The following is a 14,779-nucleotide window of genomic DNA, read 5'->3' on the forward strand; positions in this document are numbered from 1 at the left end:
CCCAGGCTTCACACTCCTGGAGCCAAGGGCCGGGAGAAGGAAGGTTGCACAGACTCTTGTCGTCTACATAAAAGGCAAGGGGGTGCTGAGCTGGGGCTGAGATCCACCAAAGACCAGGTCAGGGTTTAAGGGTGAGTTGGGGGACCTGTGCTCAGGGACAAGGAGGCTCATTTGCACAGGAAGAAGGAGCCTAAGAGAGGGGCATAGAAAACACTGAGAGAAGGTAATGCTGTGGCAGGGATGTGGCGAGCAGAAGGGAGTCGTTTTATAGAACAGGAAACAATCTGTTGCGGGGATTATTATACCTCCTGAGGAAGAAAAGGCAATTTAATTTTTTGGGAGAAGGCGATTGGAGTGTAAACTGACGAGGATGCCGTCTGAAAGAGCATTCATTCTCTGCTTGTCAAGACTCTGGAAATGCAGAGGGCCCCGGTATCCTACCAGAAGCAAGCCCCAGGGTGCAAGCAAGTCTTTCTGGCTGGAAGGAAGGTGCAGGCGCAGCAGTGATGTCCTTCCAGCACTGTGCCTGGCACAAGTGGGCGCCCAGCATGTTCATGCCCACCTGGCTGTTGCTGTCTGCCCTGTCACCCGCATCCACATCAGATGCATCTCCAGACTCCTTCATTCATTCCCTCATTCGTTCACTTGTCTGACAAATGCTTACGGAGCTCCTTGCTCTGTGCTGAGCATAGCGCTAGGCACCGAAGGAGATGAAAGAAAAATAAGTTAGGGTTTTCACCTCCGGAGAGCTGATAGTCTAGTGGAGAAGCAAACCAATGAACACATTTCTAAGTCTCCAACGCAGTCAAGGACGGCGACAGGGAAGAGCTCGATGTGATGGTGTAAGGACTAAGGAGGGGTTGAGAAGGCTTCTCTTACAAGTGGAGAGCCGAGAAAAAAAAAAAACAGGGACTGAAAGAAAGTCCTAAGAAGGAGGAAGAGAATTAGAGGAGATTTATTCCCCTAGTCCAGTAGGCAGAAGCTCAGCAAATATTTTTTGGCCCACACCCAATAAAAATTGAATCCATAAATCATAAAGATTTAATAATTAGTCTTGTGAATCCTGTGACGAATACAGCTTTTCTCTTGAATTTATGGAGGAAGATGGAGTTTCCGTGTTCAGTTTTCCATGGATAAGGATAAGGGACCCTGGGTTCCCTTTGTGTTCCCCACTCCCCTAGGGACGGTCCTTGAGCAGCTGCGGAAGAGTGTACGGATCTGAGGAACTGGTAACAGTGAAGAGCTGTGGAATGATCCCTGGGTGGGGAGTCCAAGTTTCCAAGCCAGGGCGACTGAGAAATTGCCAACCACAGTTCAGGGTCTTTGAAGCATTCCTGAGTAAGAACCTGAGAAGCCGGTCCCGCTAGGCCTTGAGATTTCTCTTGGATGGGAGGCCTTTGCTTCTGTCTCCCTTGTCCAGCTTCACCCTCTGGTTTAGACTCAAATTTGCCTCCTCCACCTGGGAAATCTGCTCCCCCTGGAATGGGGCTCAGAGCACCTCCCATTCCCAGTCCCTCCACCCTGTCATAATCCGCTTCCTGGATGTCTAGCAAAATACCCCCACCTAAGGCAGAACTGGCATGGCTCCAGGATCCACTTCTGTTAAGCTCAGAGGAATCTGGCCACAGCAGAAATAATGGCCTCTAAAAAGTAGTCCCTTTTTCTTTTTTTCTTTTTTTCTTTTTTTTTTTTTTTTGAGACAGAGTTTCACTCTTGTTGCCCAGGCTGGAGTGCAATGACGCGATCTCGGCTCACTGCAACCTCTGCCTTTCAGGTTCAAGTGATTCTCCTGCCTTAGCCTCCCTAGTAGCTGGGATTACAGGCACTCGCCACCACGCCCAGCTAATTTTTTGTATTTTTAGTAGAGAGAGGTGTTCACTATGTTGACCAGGCTGGTCTCAAACTCCTCACCTCAGGCAATCCACCCGCCTCAACCTCCCAAGTGCTGGGATTACAGGTGTGAGCCACCATGCCCAGCTAGAAGTCTGTTTTTCTAATATATCCTCCCATTCTCTTTCCCACAGGACTGGGCCCACTGGCCTTCCCACTGTCATTCACCACCACCAGCCCTTTGAGAGCCTGCCATTCTGGAACCTTCTTTTCCAGCCACAGTCTTAAGATGATGAGCAACCTCTGCAGAAAGAATGTAAAGTTACAACACGCACACAGATCCCATCAAGATGAGAGTGAGTGGAGATGATGCCCTATTTCCAAGCAGCTCAGAGTGCATGTGTGCCAGACACGAGCGGACTGCCGGAGATAGCTGACACAGATCCGAGGACACAGAAGGAGGCTCTTTAAAAAGCCAGAGCAACAGCTAGCATGTGAGAGGTCTGATTAATCCACCAAGGGCTTATCTATGCATCAACAAACAGCGATGGTCTGTGTCTTGTTCCCTGGATACTTCCTGGCTCATGCAAGACACTCGGTATTTATTTGTTAGATGAGCGATAAATACATGAATACTTAGACTCATTTGTCTCAAATTGCCTGAGGTTTTAACTACCCCAACCAGATATTTTGGAATCATAAACACCCAGGCATTGAATATTTAAATACATATGCAAACACCTGGAGTTCACTAATTTCCTTGTGATTTGTCCCCTGGGAGGCTGTGCACCGCTAGGCAGAGAATGGAAGAAAATCTCTGGTGCTTGTTGATAATCACAGAGAAAGATGAACTTGTGGTATATGTGTATGATAGTGTGTAGCCAAGGACAGGAAAAACGAGACAATGATTCTGTAATGGAAAAAAATCTCAAGTCTTCAATATTTGTCTTTACGAGGACTCCCCTGATCAGCTCCTGTGAGCAGGGCCCCATCCCTTGCTGTCAGTATCAGCCTCCAGGAACCTGCTGTAAGTTTAAATGGGCCCTCCAGTTCTCAAGAGGTTGCTGTCCACTTTCCCAGCCCTGGGACCCTCGCATATGGCTGTCGGTGACTTGTGCAGGAATTTAGTTCTGTCGCCATCTCACCGCAAGAAAGAATGTCCTAACTGTCCAGCAGATGCTGGTTGTCCCCACTCGGAGACAATGATGGACTGGGTAATTCTGTAATTGGGCTAGACCTGCTGCCGACCCACTCTCTGGGCCCCATGGCTCAATGTTGGCTAAGGGAGTAGTGGATTCTGCTTCCACCTTAGTGAGGGCCAAAGATGCTGGAGAAGGAGGTAGGTACCAAGAATCATAGAACAAAGGTGCTTATTAGACAAGGAAGAGATTGCTCCACGTGACTCCAGTGGGCTTGGAATGGGCCTGGGTGGCAGCTGAAATGTGACAGATGCCAGGCAAGCTTTCCAGCTTCACAGAGATCTGACTTAGCCTTCCAGCTGATGCACACGCAGGGGAAGCCAGGGCTGTGGCAGGAAAAGGGGCGTTCCCAGGGTGTGGCAACTAGTGCGGCTTGGGGACAGGGCTGTTCACAGCTATGCTGCTTGAGAGAGCAGGGCTCACTGAGCAAGGAGAAGGGCGGTGGCTACAACCAGCCACATTGAAAAGACGCTTGCTTCTCCTAAATCACAAACTTTCCCTCAACACTGGCGGGAAGCTGTTTATATTTCCCAGCAAAAGACTGAGCAGAGTTTAAGATGAACAACAGATTGCAAACTTTCCTTCTCTTTGAGTGGTGATGGAGGTGGGAGGGGATAGAGACGTGTGGAAACACACAGAGATACAGCCATGATGAATCAGTTTGTCTGCGAAGTATTTGACCACACACATTAAACAAATTGGAAATTAGCAGTCAGCTCTAACATCTCTTTATACCCAAGTGACAAAACTCAGACAATTAAGCTTCTGTTTCTCTGACGTTTTAACAGCAGGAAATAAAAATCTAGCAATAATAGACAGCAAATTCCTTCTTTTGTCTGGAGGGCAGGGGAATGGGGAATAAAAATATATCTTGTACCTTCATCATTTAATAGATTTTAGTGGAATTACCAGGCCAGAAAGTATCCTATTACATGGAAAGAAACAGACTGGGTTTCCAGTTTATTACTAACTTAGGGATCGCTGCATGATTTGAGCTGATGTTTTCTTTTTCTTTTTTCTTTCTCCTTTTTTAATGAAAACGAAAGTCCTTTGTGTGCAGTCTCTCTGAACTTTCAGAACAATGTAAGAACTTTAAGAACAATGTTCTTAAGTCACACGATTCCTTCGGGGACACACGAAGCGCACTTCTAAACCCATAATCCTGGGCTATAAAAAGGATCTGGGGCGGGTGATCAAAGGTGAACTGCCCATTTACAACCTCTCTTTCAAGCCCCCTTCCCATCTCCCTGACAGTTTTATAGAAGTCCTTCTCTTTTGCTCCAACCCAGATCAAAGACTTGGATAGAGGGGTCTCCCCACCCTCCTGCCTGGCATGGAAGGAAGGGATTACCCCCGAAATTAGAAACCCCAGTGCAGTGGGCTTACCCTCCTACCTGGGGGATAGGGGGTGAGACCTGGAGCCTCTCTTGTCAATAGGAACAGACCAGGACAAAGATGGGATAAACTCAGGGTGCCCCGCTCTGTTCTGGCAGCAGAGGAGACAAACTTGCTCTCTCTTCCCTTCAGCCTTCAAAAGAGAAATTCTCTGATCTTCTGTGCACAGGTTTTAGTTAACATCTACAAGTTGCTAGGATCATGTTTATGTTATCAGTAAACCTTCCCTTCCCTCCCACCCAAGTAATAGTCCCCATCCAGAGCATCAGAAGCTCCCCCTAAACTCTGAGTCTGAGATATCGGGGAGCTGAGGGAGGCGGGAAGAAGCTGCAAGGTGTGTGGCATCAATTCAGGTCACAGCCTCATCCATTTGTTCATTTGTTCTCAATACGACTCCCTACTTTTGCCTGGACATGCTGGGATCTGCTTAGGACTTGGGGGTGAAGGTACATTTCCTGGGAATACTTATTCGAGGGCTGGAAGTGCCTCAGTCCCCAGAGACTCCCCACCTAGTCCTGAAAGGAGACACCAAGAGTTAGGTAGGAGCAGGAGCACCAGGAAGCCGCCATTACTCTGAGACTCTCCAGGCCTACTTCCCTCTTCTATTCAGCATGGACCCAGCACACTAGTTAGTGCAGACCCTCCATGACAGGGTGTTCACAGAGATGAAACACACAAGCTCTCCAAATCCTGGCATCTTCTCCTTTGAAGGGACTTGAAAAATTATCTAAGACTCTCCCACTGTGGTATAAAAGAATCTTAAACAGAGAAGCAGCACAATCCCAGTTCACCCAGAGTCACCTGCTCAAGCCACATCCTGAAGCCAGATACCCTGACTCAGCAGGACCTCTGCGGCCAGGCGCGGTAGCTCATGCCTGTAATCCCAGCACTTTGGGAGCCCAAGGCAAGCAGATCACGAGGTCAGGAGAACAAAACTTTCCTGGCCAACACGGTGAAACCCCATCTCTACTAAAAATACACAAAAAAATTAGTGAGGTGTGGTGGCAAGCGCCTGTAATCCCAGCTACTTGGGAGGCTGAGGCAGGAGAATCACTTGAACCTGGGAGGCGGAGGTTGCAGTGAGCCAAGATCGTGTCACTGCACTCCAGCCTGGGCGACAGAGCAAGACTCTGTCTCAAAAAAAAAAAAAAGAAAAAGAAAAAGAAAAGAAAAAAAGAAAAAAGAAGGCCCTCTGCTACCCCAACTGCTGCCTTAGGTCTCCACATACGTTGCCCCACAAAGGAAATTCGGCTCCTAGAGAGCTTCGTCCCTCTGGGGCTGCTAGGGAACTCATTTGACGTTCTCTCTGTCACTTGTAGGAAATGTTACAAAATTGTGTTTGCATTGAAGCTTTTCTTTCTTCCAGACGTATTGTGTCATCATCTAGTAGGCTAACTAGTTGTTTTAACAGATGATATTATGGTTTGAAAGTGGATTATGCCTGTTCTTTCCCTGTTCTTCTACACACAGTCAAACGGGTCTTTTTGATGATTTATCTTTAGCTTCCCTCAACCCTTGAAACGTCAACCTTCTCTATGCTTTTGATTTCCTCTGAGATTCGTAAGAGTTTGTGACATTCTTCTGTATACACCCTTGATTTTGTGCCCCTCCTTCCATCTTTGTGTGTGTTCTCTTCAAATTGGCGCTCATCAGCAGAAATGCTGTTTTCTTTGGATGTCTCTTTTCTTCCTCATTAGGATCATTTGCAATTTTAGGTTCTGAATTTTATTTTTAGAGCCATCCTTTCTTAGCCATACTCCCTTTCAGAGGTTCTCACTATGAGATCATCTGTTTTGAATGTTTTGAAATCTGCTTTCCTCAAGTCTGTAAGTCTGAAGACACACATCCTGCTTTAATAGGATGGACACTGGCCCAAGCTGTTATTATTTTCACATAACTCACAGTTCTTTGCTGGTCCTCTTGCTGTTACTTGTTTCTTTCAAGTGATGAAAATTATAATCAGGCTACTTAAAACTTTACCAAGTGCTCTGCTTTTTAAAGAAATAGGAGGCTTATAGGCTTCCACACAATGTATTTTTTTAAGTCAACATTTGTCATTGTATTTTGCCGTGATGCTAGTTTCCAAAGATGTCTGCAACAACAACTCCCATCCAATGTTATCTTCTAACTATGTGACTCTGACATTTCTCCCCTCAAAATGTGGGATCTCCACTCCCACCTCCTAGGGTGGGCAGGCTTGTGACTGTGGCAGAAGGAATGCCATGCAACTTTCAAGGCTGGATCATGAAAAGTGATGCAGCTTCTATCTGGCTCTTTCTGGGGATGCTTGTTCTTAGAACCCAGCAGCCACGCTATGGGGAAGACCCATTAGGTCATGTGAGAAATTACATGAAGAAGTCAAATGTAGGTATTCTGGATGATGGCCCAAGCGAGGTCCCAGCGAACAGTCACACCAGAGCGAGACATATGAGCGGAAGGCAGCCCCCAGATTATTCCAGCCCTCAGCCACACCCAACTGAGGTCCCAGATATTGTGGGGCAAAGACAAGCCATCTCTGCTTTGGCCTGTCTGAATTCCTGATCCACAGAAACCATGAAAGATAATAAAATGATTTTTTTAAACCACTGAGTTTTTTGAGATGATTTGTAATGCAGCAATGGAGAACTCATGCAATAATTAAAACCCATTAACTAAGAAATAAAAATTAAGACTCATTACGGATACATCATCTATACTCTTCTTCTGATTGATTGGTTCTTAATTTACTCCCATTCCAAAATTCTATCCCTGTAATTCAGTTCCAATTCCACCAGACGGAAGGGCAGCCATGACTGCATTGGTCCCAGTCATTGGACAGAGACAGGACAAATTGGAATCACTTACTCTTGGCTATAAAAGCAATTAGATCATCCTTGCTTAGTATACTGTGTGAACTTTTAAAAGAGCAAAATTAAAACATCTCTCACATACTTCTGTAGCTGATTAACATAACACAATTCTAGCAGACCCCCTATTGGAAAATATTCCTTCATTTTCCAACTTCTTGAGTCAGAGAGCATTTAGTTGCAATGAACAGAACTCATTCAAGCTAACATAAGCAAAAAAGAACATTGATTAGAAATAGAGGGATCTGGTGGAGCCCCAAGACAGGAAATGAGGCCAGGCTTCATAGGAATTAATGCCAGAAACTGCAAAGCTGACAAGAGCCAGACTGGCTTGTCTCTCCAAATCTCTTTCTCTCTAGAGCTATATTGTCTTTTATTTCTGGCTCTCTAAGGCACATGCCTTCTCAATCTCTCTCTCTCTCTCCAGAGAACAGTTTAGCATGTGGTATGTGATTAAGGGCAGTCTCCAAGCCAGGGTGCTAAATGCCAGCCCCACGACTTAGTTATTGGTGACTCTGGGCAAGTTCCTTAAGCTTCTGTTCTTCAGTTTCCTCATTTGTAAAGTGGGAATAAAGATAACAATGGTACTTTTACCTCATAAGATTGTTGTGAGATTGAATCAATATATGTAAAGTTCTTTGAACAGTGCCAGGCACGTTGCAAGCGTTTGCTTTCATTATTATCTTTCTTTGCTCACTTAACCATGTCTGAACATGGGTGCCTTGATACTAGCTTTTTATCTGTCTCAGTCTGTTTGTGCAGCTGTGACAAAATATCTTAGACTGGGTAATGTGTAAATAATAGGAATTTGTTTCTCACAGTTCTAGAGGCTGGGAAGTTCAAGATCAAGATGTCAGCAGATTAAGTGTCAGGTGAGGGCTCACTCTCTGCTTCCAAGATGAAGCCTTGTTGCGTGGTGGAAGGCAGCAAAAGCGATGAACTGTGTTCTTATACAGCAGAAGAGATGGAGGGGCAAAAAGGGATTAGGGTGCCCTCTTCAACCTCTTTGATGAGAGCATTAATCCCATTCATGAGAGTAGAATACTCATGACTTAATCACTTCCCAAAAGACCCTACCTCTTAATACGATCGCGTTGGGTATTAGATCTGAACAGTTGAGTTTTGGAGGTACACATACATTCAAACCATAGCAATAACCAACCCATAGTTCAAGTGCTTATCAGAAACCTAAGTTTCCAGCCGGGCACGGTGGCTCATGCCTGTAATCCCAGCACTTTGGGAGACCAAGGCTGGTGGATCATGAGGTCAGGAGTTCAAGACCAGCCTGGCCAACATGGTGAAACCCTGTCTCTACTCAAAATACAAAAATTAGCCAGGTGTGGTGGTGCATGCCTGCAATCCCAGCTACTCAGGAGGCTGAGGCAGGAGAATGACTTGAACCTGGGAGACAGAGATTGCGGTGAGCAGAGCTTAGATTGTGCCACTGCACTTCAGCCTGGATGACAGAGCGAGACTCCATCTCAAAAAAAAAAAAAAAAAAAAATCTAAGTTTCCGCGACCCAAATTTACATTCCTAGGTCAGAACGTGTCTGACTGGACCAGCTGGAGTTACGTGCCTGCCCACGATCTAATCAGCTGTGGCAGACGGTTAAGGGAGTGAGTGCTGAGGGGACTCAGCAGGGAGACAGGGAGTTGATTCTCTGAGAAGGGGCTGTGGGCTGGGCTGGGAAGAGGGCTTGCCCGCCACTACTCCCACCTCCATTTTCACATACGGCAGCTCTGCTATGTCAAACCTCAGCTTTAGCTCCCTGCTAAGCAGAAACTCTTCCTATTATTGACTGACCCAAACAGCATGAAGAAGGTGTCTTCCTTTAGCCAACGAGCACTTCTCTCTCCACATAACTCTCTCCACGTAACTAGTCTCCTCTCTCCACATAACTAGTCTCCTCTCTCCACATAACTCTCTCCACATAACTAGTCTCCTCTCTCCACATAACTAGTCTCCTCCCTCCACATAACTAGTCTTCTCTCTCCACATAACTAGTCTCCTCCCTCCACATAACTAGTCTCCTCTCTCCACATAACTCTCTCCACTTAACTAGTCTCCTCTCTCCACATAGTCTCCTGTCTCCGCTTGGCAATGAGGGCTCTAGTCCTCTGAGAAGCCAAAACACAAGTATCTCTTTATACTAGAAGATGACTTTTACAAATCTTCCCCTAGATTTTCCCCTCAGAAGTCAGCAAATTGTCCCTCTCACAGGGAAGACAAAAGGAAGAATCACTTCAGATCCCTCCCATTTGGTATTGTACTTTTTTTTTTTTTTTAATGGAGTCTCACTCTGTCGTGCAGGCTGGAATGCAGTGGTGCGATCTCAGCTCACTGCAACCTCTGCCTCCCAGGTTCAAGCAATTCTCCTGCCTCAGCCTCCCAAGTAGCTGGGATTACAGGCACGCGCCTCCATGCCCAGCTAGGTATTGTGCACTTAAGCTACTGATATTACACGTGGTGACTGTTAACTTGTTGAGTCTCCCACCAGTAATAGCAACTTCGAGAAACAACACTTAAAGTTATTGATCTCACCATACAGAAAAAGCAAATTAAGCAGAATGTTGAACAGAATGTGAATTGGCTAATCAAAAGGATAATGAGGTTTAAGGGAATACGGTGCCTTTCATTTCTATATATTATTCCAATCTCTATTCGATGCGGCCATTTGGGGTAAAATGCTATGAAACAGCATATTTCAAACCCTGTTCTTCAGAAATACTTGAATGTCACGGACAAATCGATAGCTCTTTAAATCACAGAGCTGCGCTCATTAGTGGTCCTCCCTTGGGGAGGAGATGGCTGCATCTGCCTACTCGGCGGGAATAGGCCAGCCTCCAAACTGGCATGAGCTGACCTTTCCTTGGGCTTGTTACTCTCTTATTGGTGATTCTTTCTGTAAAGTCTCAGAAACCTTAGTTTGCAATTGCCAATATGCTTGTTGTTTTAGGGTGTCACCATTAGACTGAGTGTCTGAGCAAGGCTATTAAGCATTGTGTATTCCTGAGAGGATCCTTTCAGAGAAAACAAGAGGTTGTTTTACGGGGAAATGACCCATGGCTCAGTATTAGCTCCATTAAATGACAGACAAGAAAGGAGGTATAATGTTCCCATCAAGTAGAATGAGAAGATTGCTCCCAACTTGTGGTCCCTGTTTCCTATATCCAATGCCCTCATTTCCTTTCCTCTGATTCCTCCTTTAGTGAATTGATTGCTTCCCCCATTTTTCTTCATGGAAATTGCTCTCTATGCAAGGTTATCAGACTTATTTGCAGTTTGAGCCAAAGAAGCAACATCTTTCACTCCATCCACTTCTACTGGAAGTAGACTGGACTATCTTAATCCAATATAATAGAAGCTTAAGAGAAAACAAGCGTGGCCTGTTATTAAATTATTGCCAAATACTTTACAAACTGTAAATGTCAGAAAAAACTACACACAAAAGCTCTAAGGCATGTGGAGACAAGTAATACAATTTACTTCAATAATAAGTATAGAGTTACTTATGCTCAACTCAGAAGCCCACAAGAAGTATATTTTTTGCCGAACTTCGCTGACCAACTCCTCCAAAGGGGCCACTCAACTTCTCTCTAGCCCATCACTCTATTTTAATTTTTTGCATAGCACTTACCACTCTGATATTTTTATAGTTCATGTTTATATTTGTTTTTTACTTATTTATTGTTTATATTTTCTACTAGAATGTAGTCCTTTTCTGTCTCTCTCTCTTACCACTGTATTCTCAATGCCTAGAACAGAGCCTAGTATATAGTAGGCACTCAATAAATACTTGTTGCATTAATGCACCGCCGAGTGCTGGGCCTCCTGGCTTCACCACCAGCTCCTAAAGAGAGTATCTTCCATCTTCCTTCCCCTCTTTAGCGTGGAGCCCTGCTGGCTCTTCATAATCCGTGTCTGGGGTTAGAGTGGAGCCCTGCTGGCTCTTCATAATCCGTGTCTGGGGTTACAGTGGAGCCCTGCTGGCTCTTCATAATCCGTGTCTGGGGTTACAGTGGAGCCCTGCTGGCCCTCCATAATCCGTGTCTGGGGTTGGAGTGGAGCCCTGCTGGCTCTCCATAATCCGTGTCTGGGGTTGGAGTGGAGCCCTGTTGGCTCTCCATAATCCATGTCTGGGGTTACAGTGGAGCCCTGCTGGCCCTCCATAATCCATGTCTGGGGTTGGAGTGGAGCCCTGTTGGCCCTCCATAATCCATGTCTGGGGTTAGAGTGGAGCCCTGCTGGCTCTTCATAATCCATGTCTAGGGTTAGAGTGGAGCCCTGCTGGCTCTTCATAATCCGTGTCTGGGGTTAGAGTGGAGCCCTGCTGGCTCTCCATAATCCATGTCTGGGATTAGAGTGGAGCCCTGCTGGCCCTCCATAATCCGTGTCTGGGGTTAGAGTGGAGCCCTGCTGGCCCTCCATAATCCGTGTCTGGGGTTAGAGTGGAGCCCTGCTGGCCCTCCATAATCCGTGTCTGGGGTTAGAGTGGAGCCCTGCTGGCTCTCCATAATCCGTGTCTGGGGTTGGAGTGGAGCTCTGTTGGCTCTCCATAATCCATGTCTGGGGTTAGAGTGGAGCCCTGCTGGCTCTTCATAATCCGTGTCTGGGGTTACAGTGGAGCCCTGCTGGCTCTTCATAATCCGTGTCTGGGGTTACAGTGGAGCCCTGCTGGCTCTTCATAATCCGTGTCTGGGGTTAGAGTGGAGCCCTGCTGGCTCTTCATAATCTGTGTCTGGGGTTAGAGTGGAGCCCTGCTGGCCCTCCATAATCCGTGTCTGGGGTTAGAGTGGAGCCCTGCTGGCTCTTCATAATCCGTGTATGGGGTTAGAGTGGAGCCCTGCTGGCCCTCCATAATCCGTGTCTGGGGTTAGAGTGGAGCCCTGCTGGCTCTCCATAATCCGTGTCTGGGGTTGGAGTGGAGCCCTGTTGGCTCTCCATAATCCATGTCTGGGGTTAGAGTGGAGCCCTGCTGGCTCTCCATAATCCATGTCTGGGGTTGGAGTGGAGCCCTGTTGGCTCTTCATAATCCGTGTCTGGGGTTACAGTGGAGCCCTGCTGGCTCTCCATAATCCGTGTCTGGGGTTGGAGTGGAGCCCTCTTGGCTCTCCATAATCCGTGTCTGGGGTTAGAGTGGAGCCCTGCTGGCTCTCCATAATCCGTGTCTGGGGTTGGAGTGGAGCCCTGTTGGCTCTCCATAATCCATGTCTGGGGTTAGAGTGGAGCCCTGCTGGCTCTTCATAATCCGTGTCTGGGGTTAGAGTGGAGCCCTGCTGGCTCTTCATAATCCGTGTCTGGGGTTACAGTGGAGCCCTGCTGGCTCTTCATAATCCGTGTCTGGGGTTACAGTGGAGCCCTGCTGGCTCTTCATAATCCGTGTCTGGGGTTACAGTGGAGCCCTGCTGGCTCTTCATAATCCGTGTCTGGGGTTACAGTGGAGCCCTGCTGGCCCTCCATAATCCGTGTCTGGGGTTGGAGTGGAGCCCTGCTGGCTCTCCATAATCCGTGTCTGGGGTTGGAGTGGAGCCCTGTTGGCTCTCCATAATCCATGTCTGGGGTTACAGTGGAGCCCTGCTGGCCCTCCATAATCCATGTCTGGGGTTGGAGTGGAGCCCTGCTGGCCCTCCATAATCCATGTCTGGGGTTGGAGTGGAGCCCTGTTGGCCCTCCATAATCCATGTCTGGGGTTAGAGTGGAGCCCTGCTGGCTCTTCATAATCCATGTCTAGGGTTAGAGTGGAGCCCTGCTGGCTCTTCATAATCCGTGTCTGGGGTTAGAGTGGAGCCCTGCTGGCTCTCCATAATCCATGTCTGGGATTAGAGTGGAGCCCTGCTGGCCCTCCATAATCCGTGTCTGGGGTTAGAGTGGAGCCCTGCTGGCCCTCCATAATCCGTGTCTGGGGTTAGAGTGGAGCCCTGCTGGCCCTCCATAATCCGTGTCTGGGGTTAGAGTGGAGCCCTGCTGGCTCTCCATAATCCGTGTCTGGGGTTGGAGTGGAGCTCTGTTGGCTCTCCATAATCCATGTCTGGGGTTAGAGTGGAGCCCTGCTGGCTCTTCATAATCCGTGTCTGGGGTTAGAGTGGAGCCCTGCTGGCTCTTCATAATCCGTGTCTGGGGTTACAGTGGAGCCCTGCTGGCTCTTCATAATCCGTGTCTGGGGTTAGAGTGGAGCCCTGCTGGCTCTTCATAATCTGTGTCTGGGGTTAGAGTGGAGCCCTGCTGGCCCTCCATAATCCGTGTCTGGGGTTAGAGTGGAGCCCTGCTGGCTCTTCATAATCCGTGTATGGGGTTAGAGTGGAGCCCTGCTGGCCCTCCATAATCCGTGTCTGGGGTTAGAGTGGAGCCCTGCTGGCTCTTCATAATCCGTGTCTGGGGTTACAGTGGAGCCCTGCTGGCTCTCCATAATCCATGTCTGGGGCTGTTTGAGCTCTAGCTGTATCTTAAGCTGTAGCTGTAGCTGTTGCTGCTGCTGTCAATGATGAAGCATCATTGCTGCTGTCAATGATGAAGCTGGGAAAAGGGGAGGTGAGCTCTGGGTTTTCAAAAGCCATTTTTGTCTTTTTGGCAAACGCTGAAAGAGTCAAGTTTTGCTATGGACTTGTTTTCTCTTTAAAAACCAGTCAGGCATGTAGGGGGCAAATCCACGCATCAGCCTCATGTGCACTGAACTCCGAGGAGCAGCCAGGAACGAGGCCTGGTGTGTGGTGAGCAATTAGAGCTACAATTCTAGCAGCAGAGCATACAAAACCAAACCAGATCACCTCCAAACCTCCATATGCCTGACATCCAGTCTTGAAATCCTAGTCATTTTAGTCATCTGTGACTTCTTCAATCCCCGTTCAATTTGCATCTCATTCAAAGCACACCAAGTCCTCTTGCGTCAGCTGTTGCACTGCACCATGCAAGCATTTACAATTCCTGCTGCACCTCCGTTCCTGGTTTACATTTATCACAGTTCATAGAATGTTAGTTCCTTGGGGGCTGAGACCATGTCTTATCATTTGTTTTCCCCTTCCCCAGTATAGTGACTTTCATAGAGTAGAAATTAAAAATATATATTATCTGCCTAACATTTATGTCTTCCTAGACAACAATACTCATCTGGAGAAAGACTAGGAATCATACATAAATGTAAAACATAATGGAGCTATTCGGGAGATAGTAAAGGAGTGCAATTGTGTCTTTATTTCCTGTTTGTTTGGCATCTCCCATACCAAAAGACTGGGGGCCCCACCTCATGATTTCTTCCATAGTTTAGAGAAGATGCCTGCTTTTCTTGTGGCCAAGCCATGAGGGTCACTGCCCTATGGACGATGGAAGACATAACAGAAAGCAAAGAGGTGAGAGCCTCCCCTTCTTGCTCCAGTGGACACTGCGAGAAGGAAAAGAGAGAAATAGGGGAAGGAAACAGACCTGAGATTTTTGGCCCCCCAGCCCCACCCCCAAGCTTGAAATCCAAGACTGTGGATTAGGATTAGGGGTTGTTAGGTAGTCTTGGGGGAAAG

At 47.3% G+C, this 14,779-nt stretch overlaps 1 long non-coding RNA gene across 2 annotated transcripts in view; it reads right to left on the bottom strand.

Moving 5' to 3' along the window:
- LOC105374308 (uncharacterized) overlaps positions 1-14,779 on the bottom strand; it is a 42,702-nt gene that overhangs the window by 9,347 nt on the left and 18,576 nt on the right. The window contains exon 5 of one of the 2 annotated variants that reach the window (NR_189109.1): positions 14,434-14,646. The exons of the other annotated variant lie outside the window; for it this stretch is intronic. This is a non-coding gene — a long non-coding RNA (uncharacterized LOC105374308). Of the gene's footprint in view, positions 1-14,433; positions 14,647-14,779 lie in introns of those variants that run through there. 2 annotated transcript variants of the gene reach the window in all.

The sequence above is a fragment of the Homo sapiens genome, chromosome 3 (genome assembly GCF_000001405.40).
Source record: "Homo sapiens chromosome 3, GRCh38.p14 Primary Assembly".
Lineage (NCBI taxonomy): Eukaryota > Metazoa > Chordata > Mammalia > Primates > Hominidae > Homo > Homo sapiens.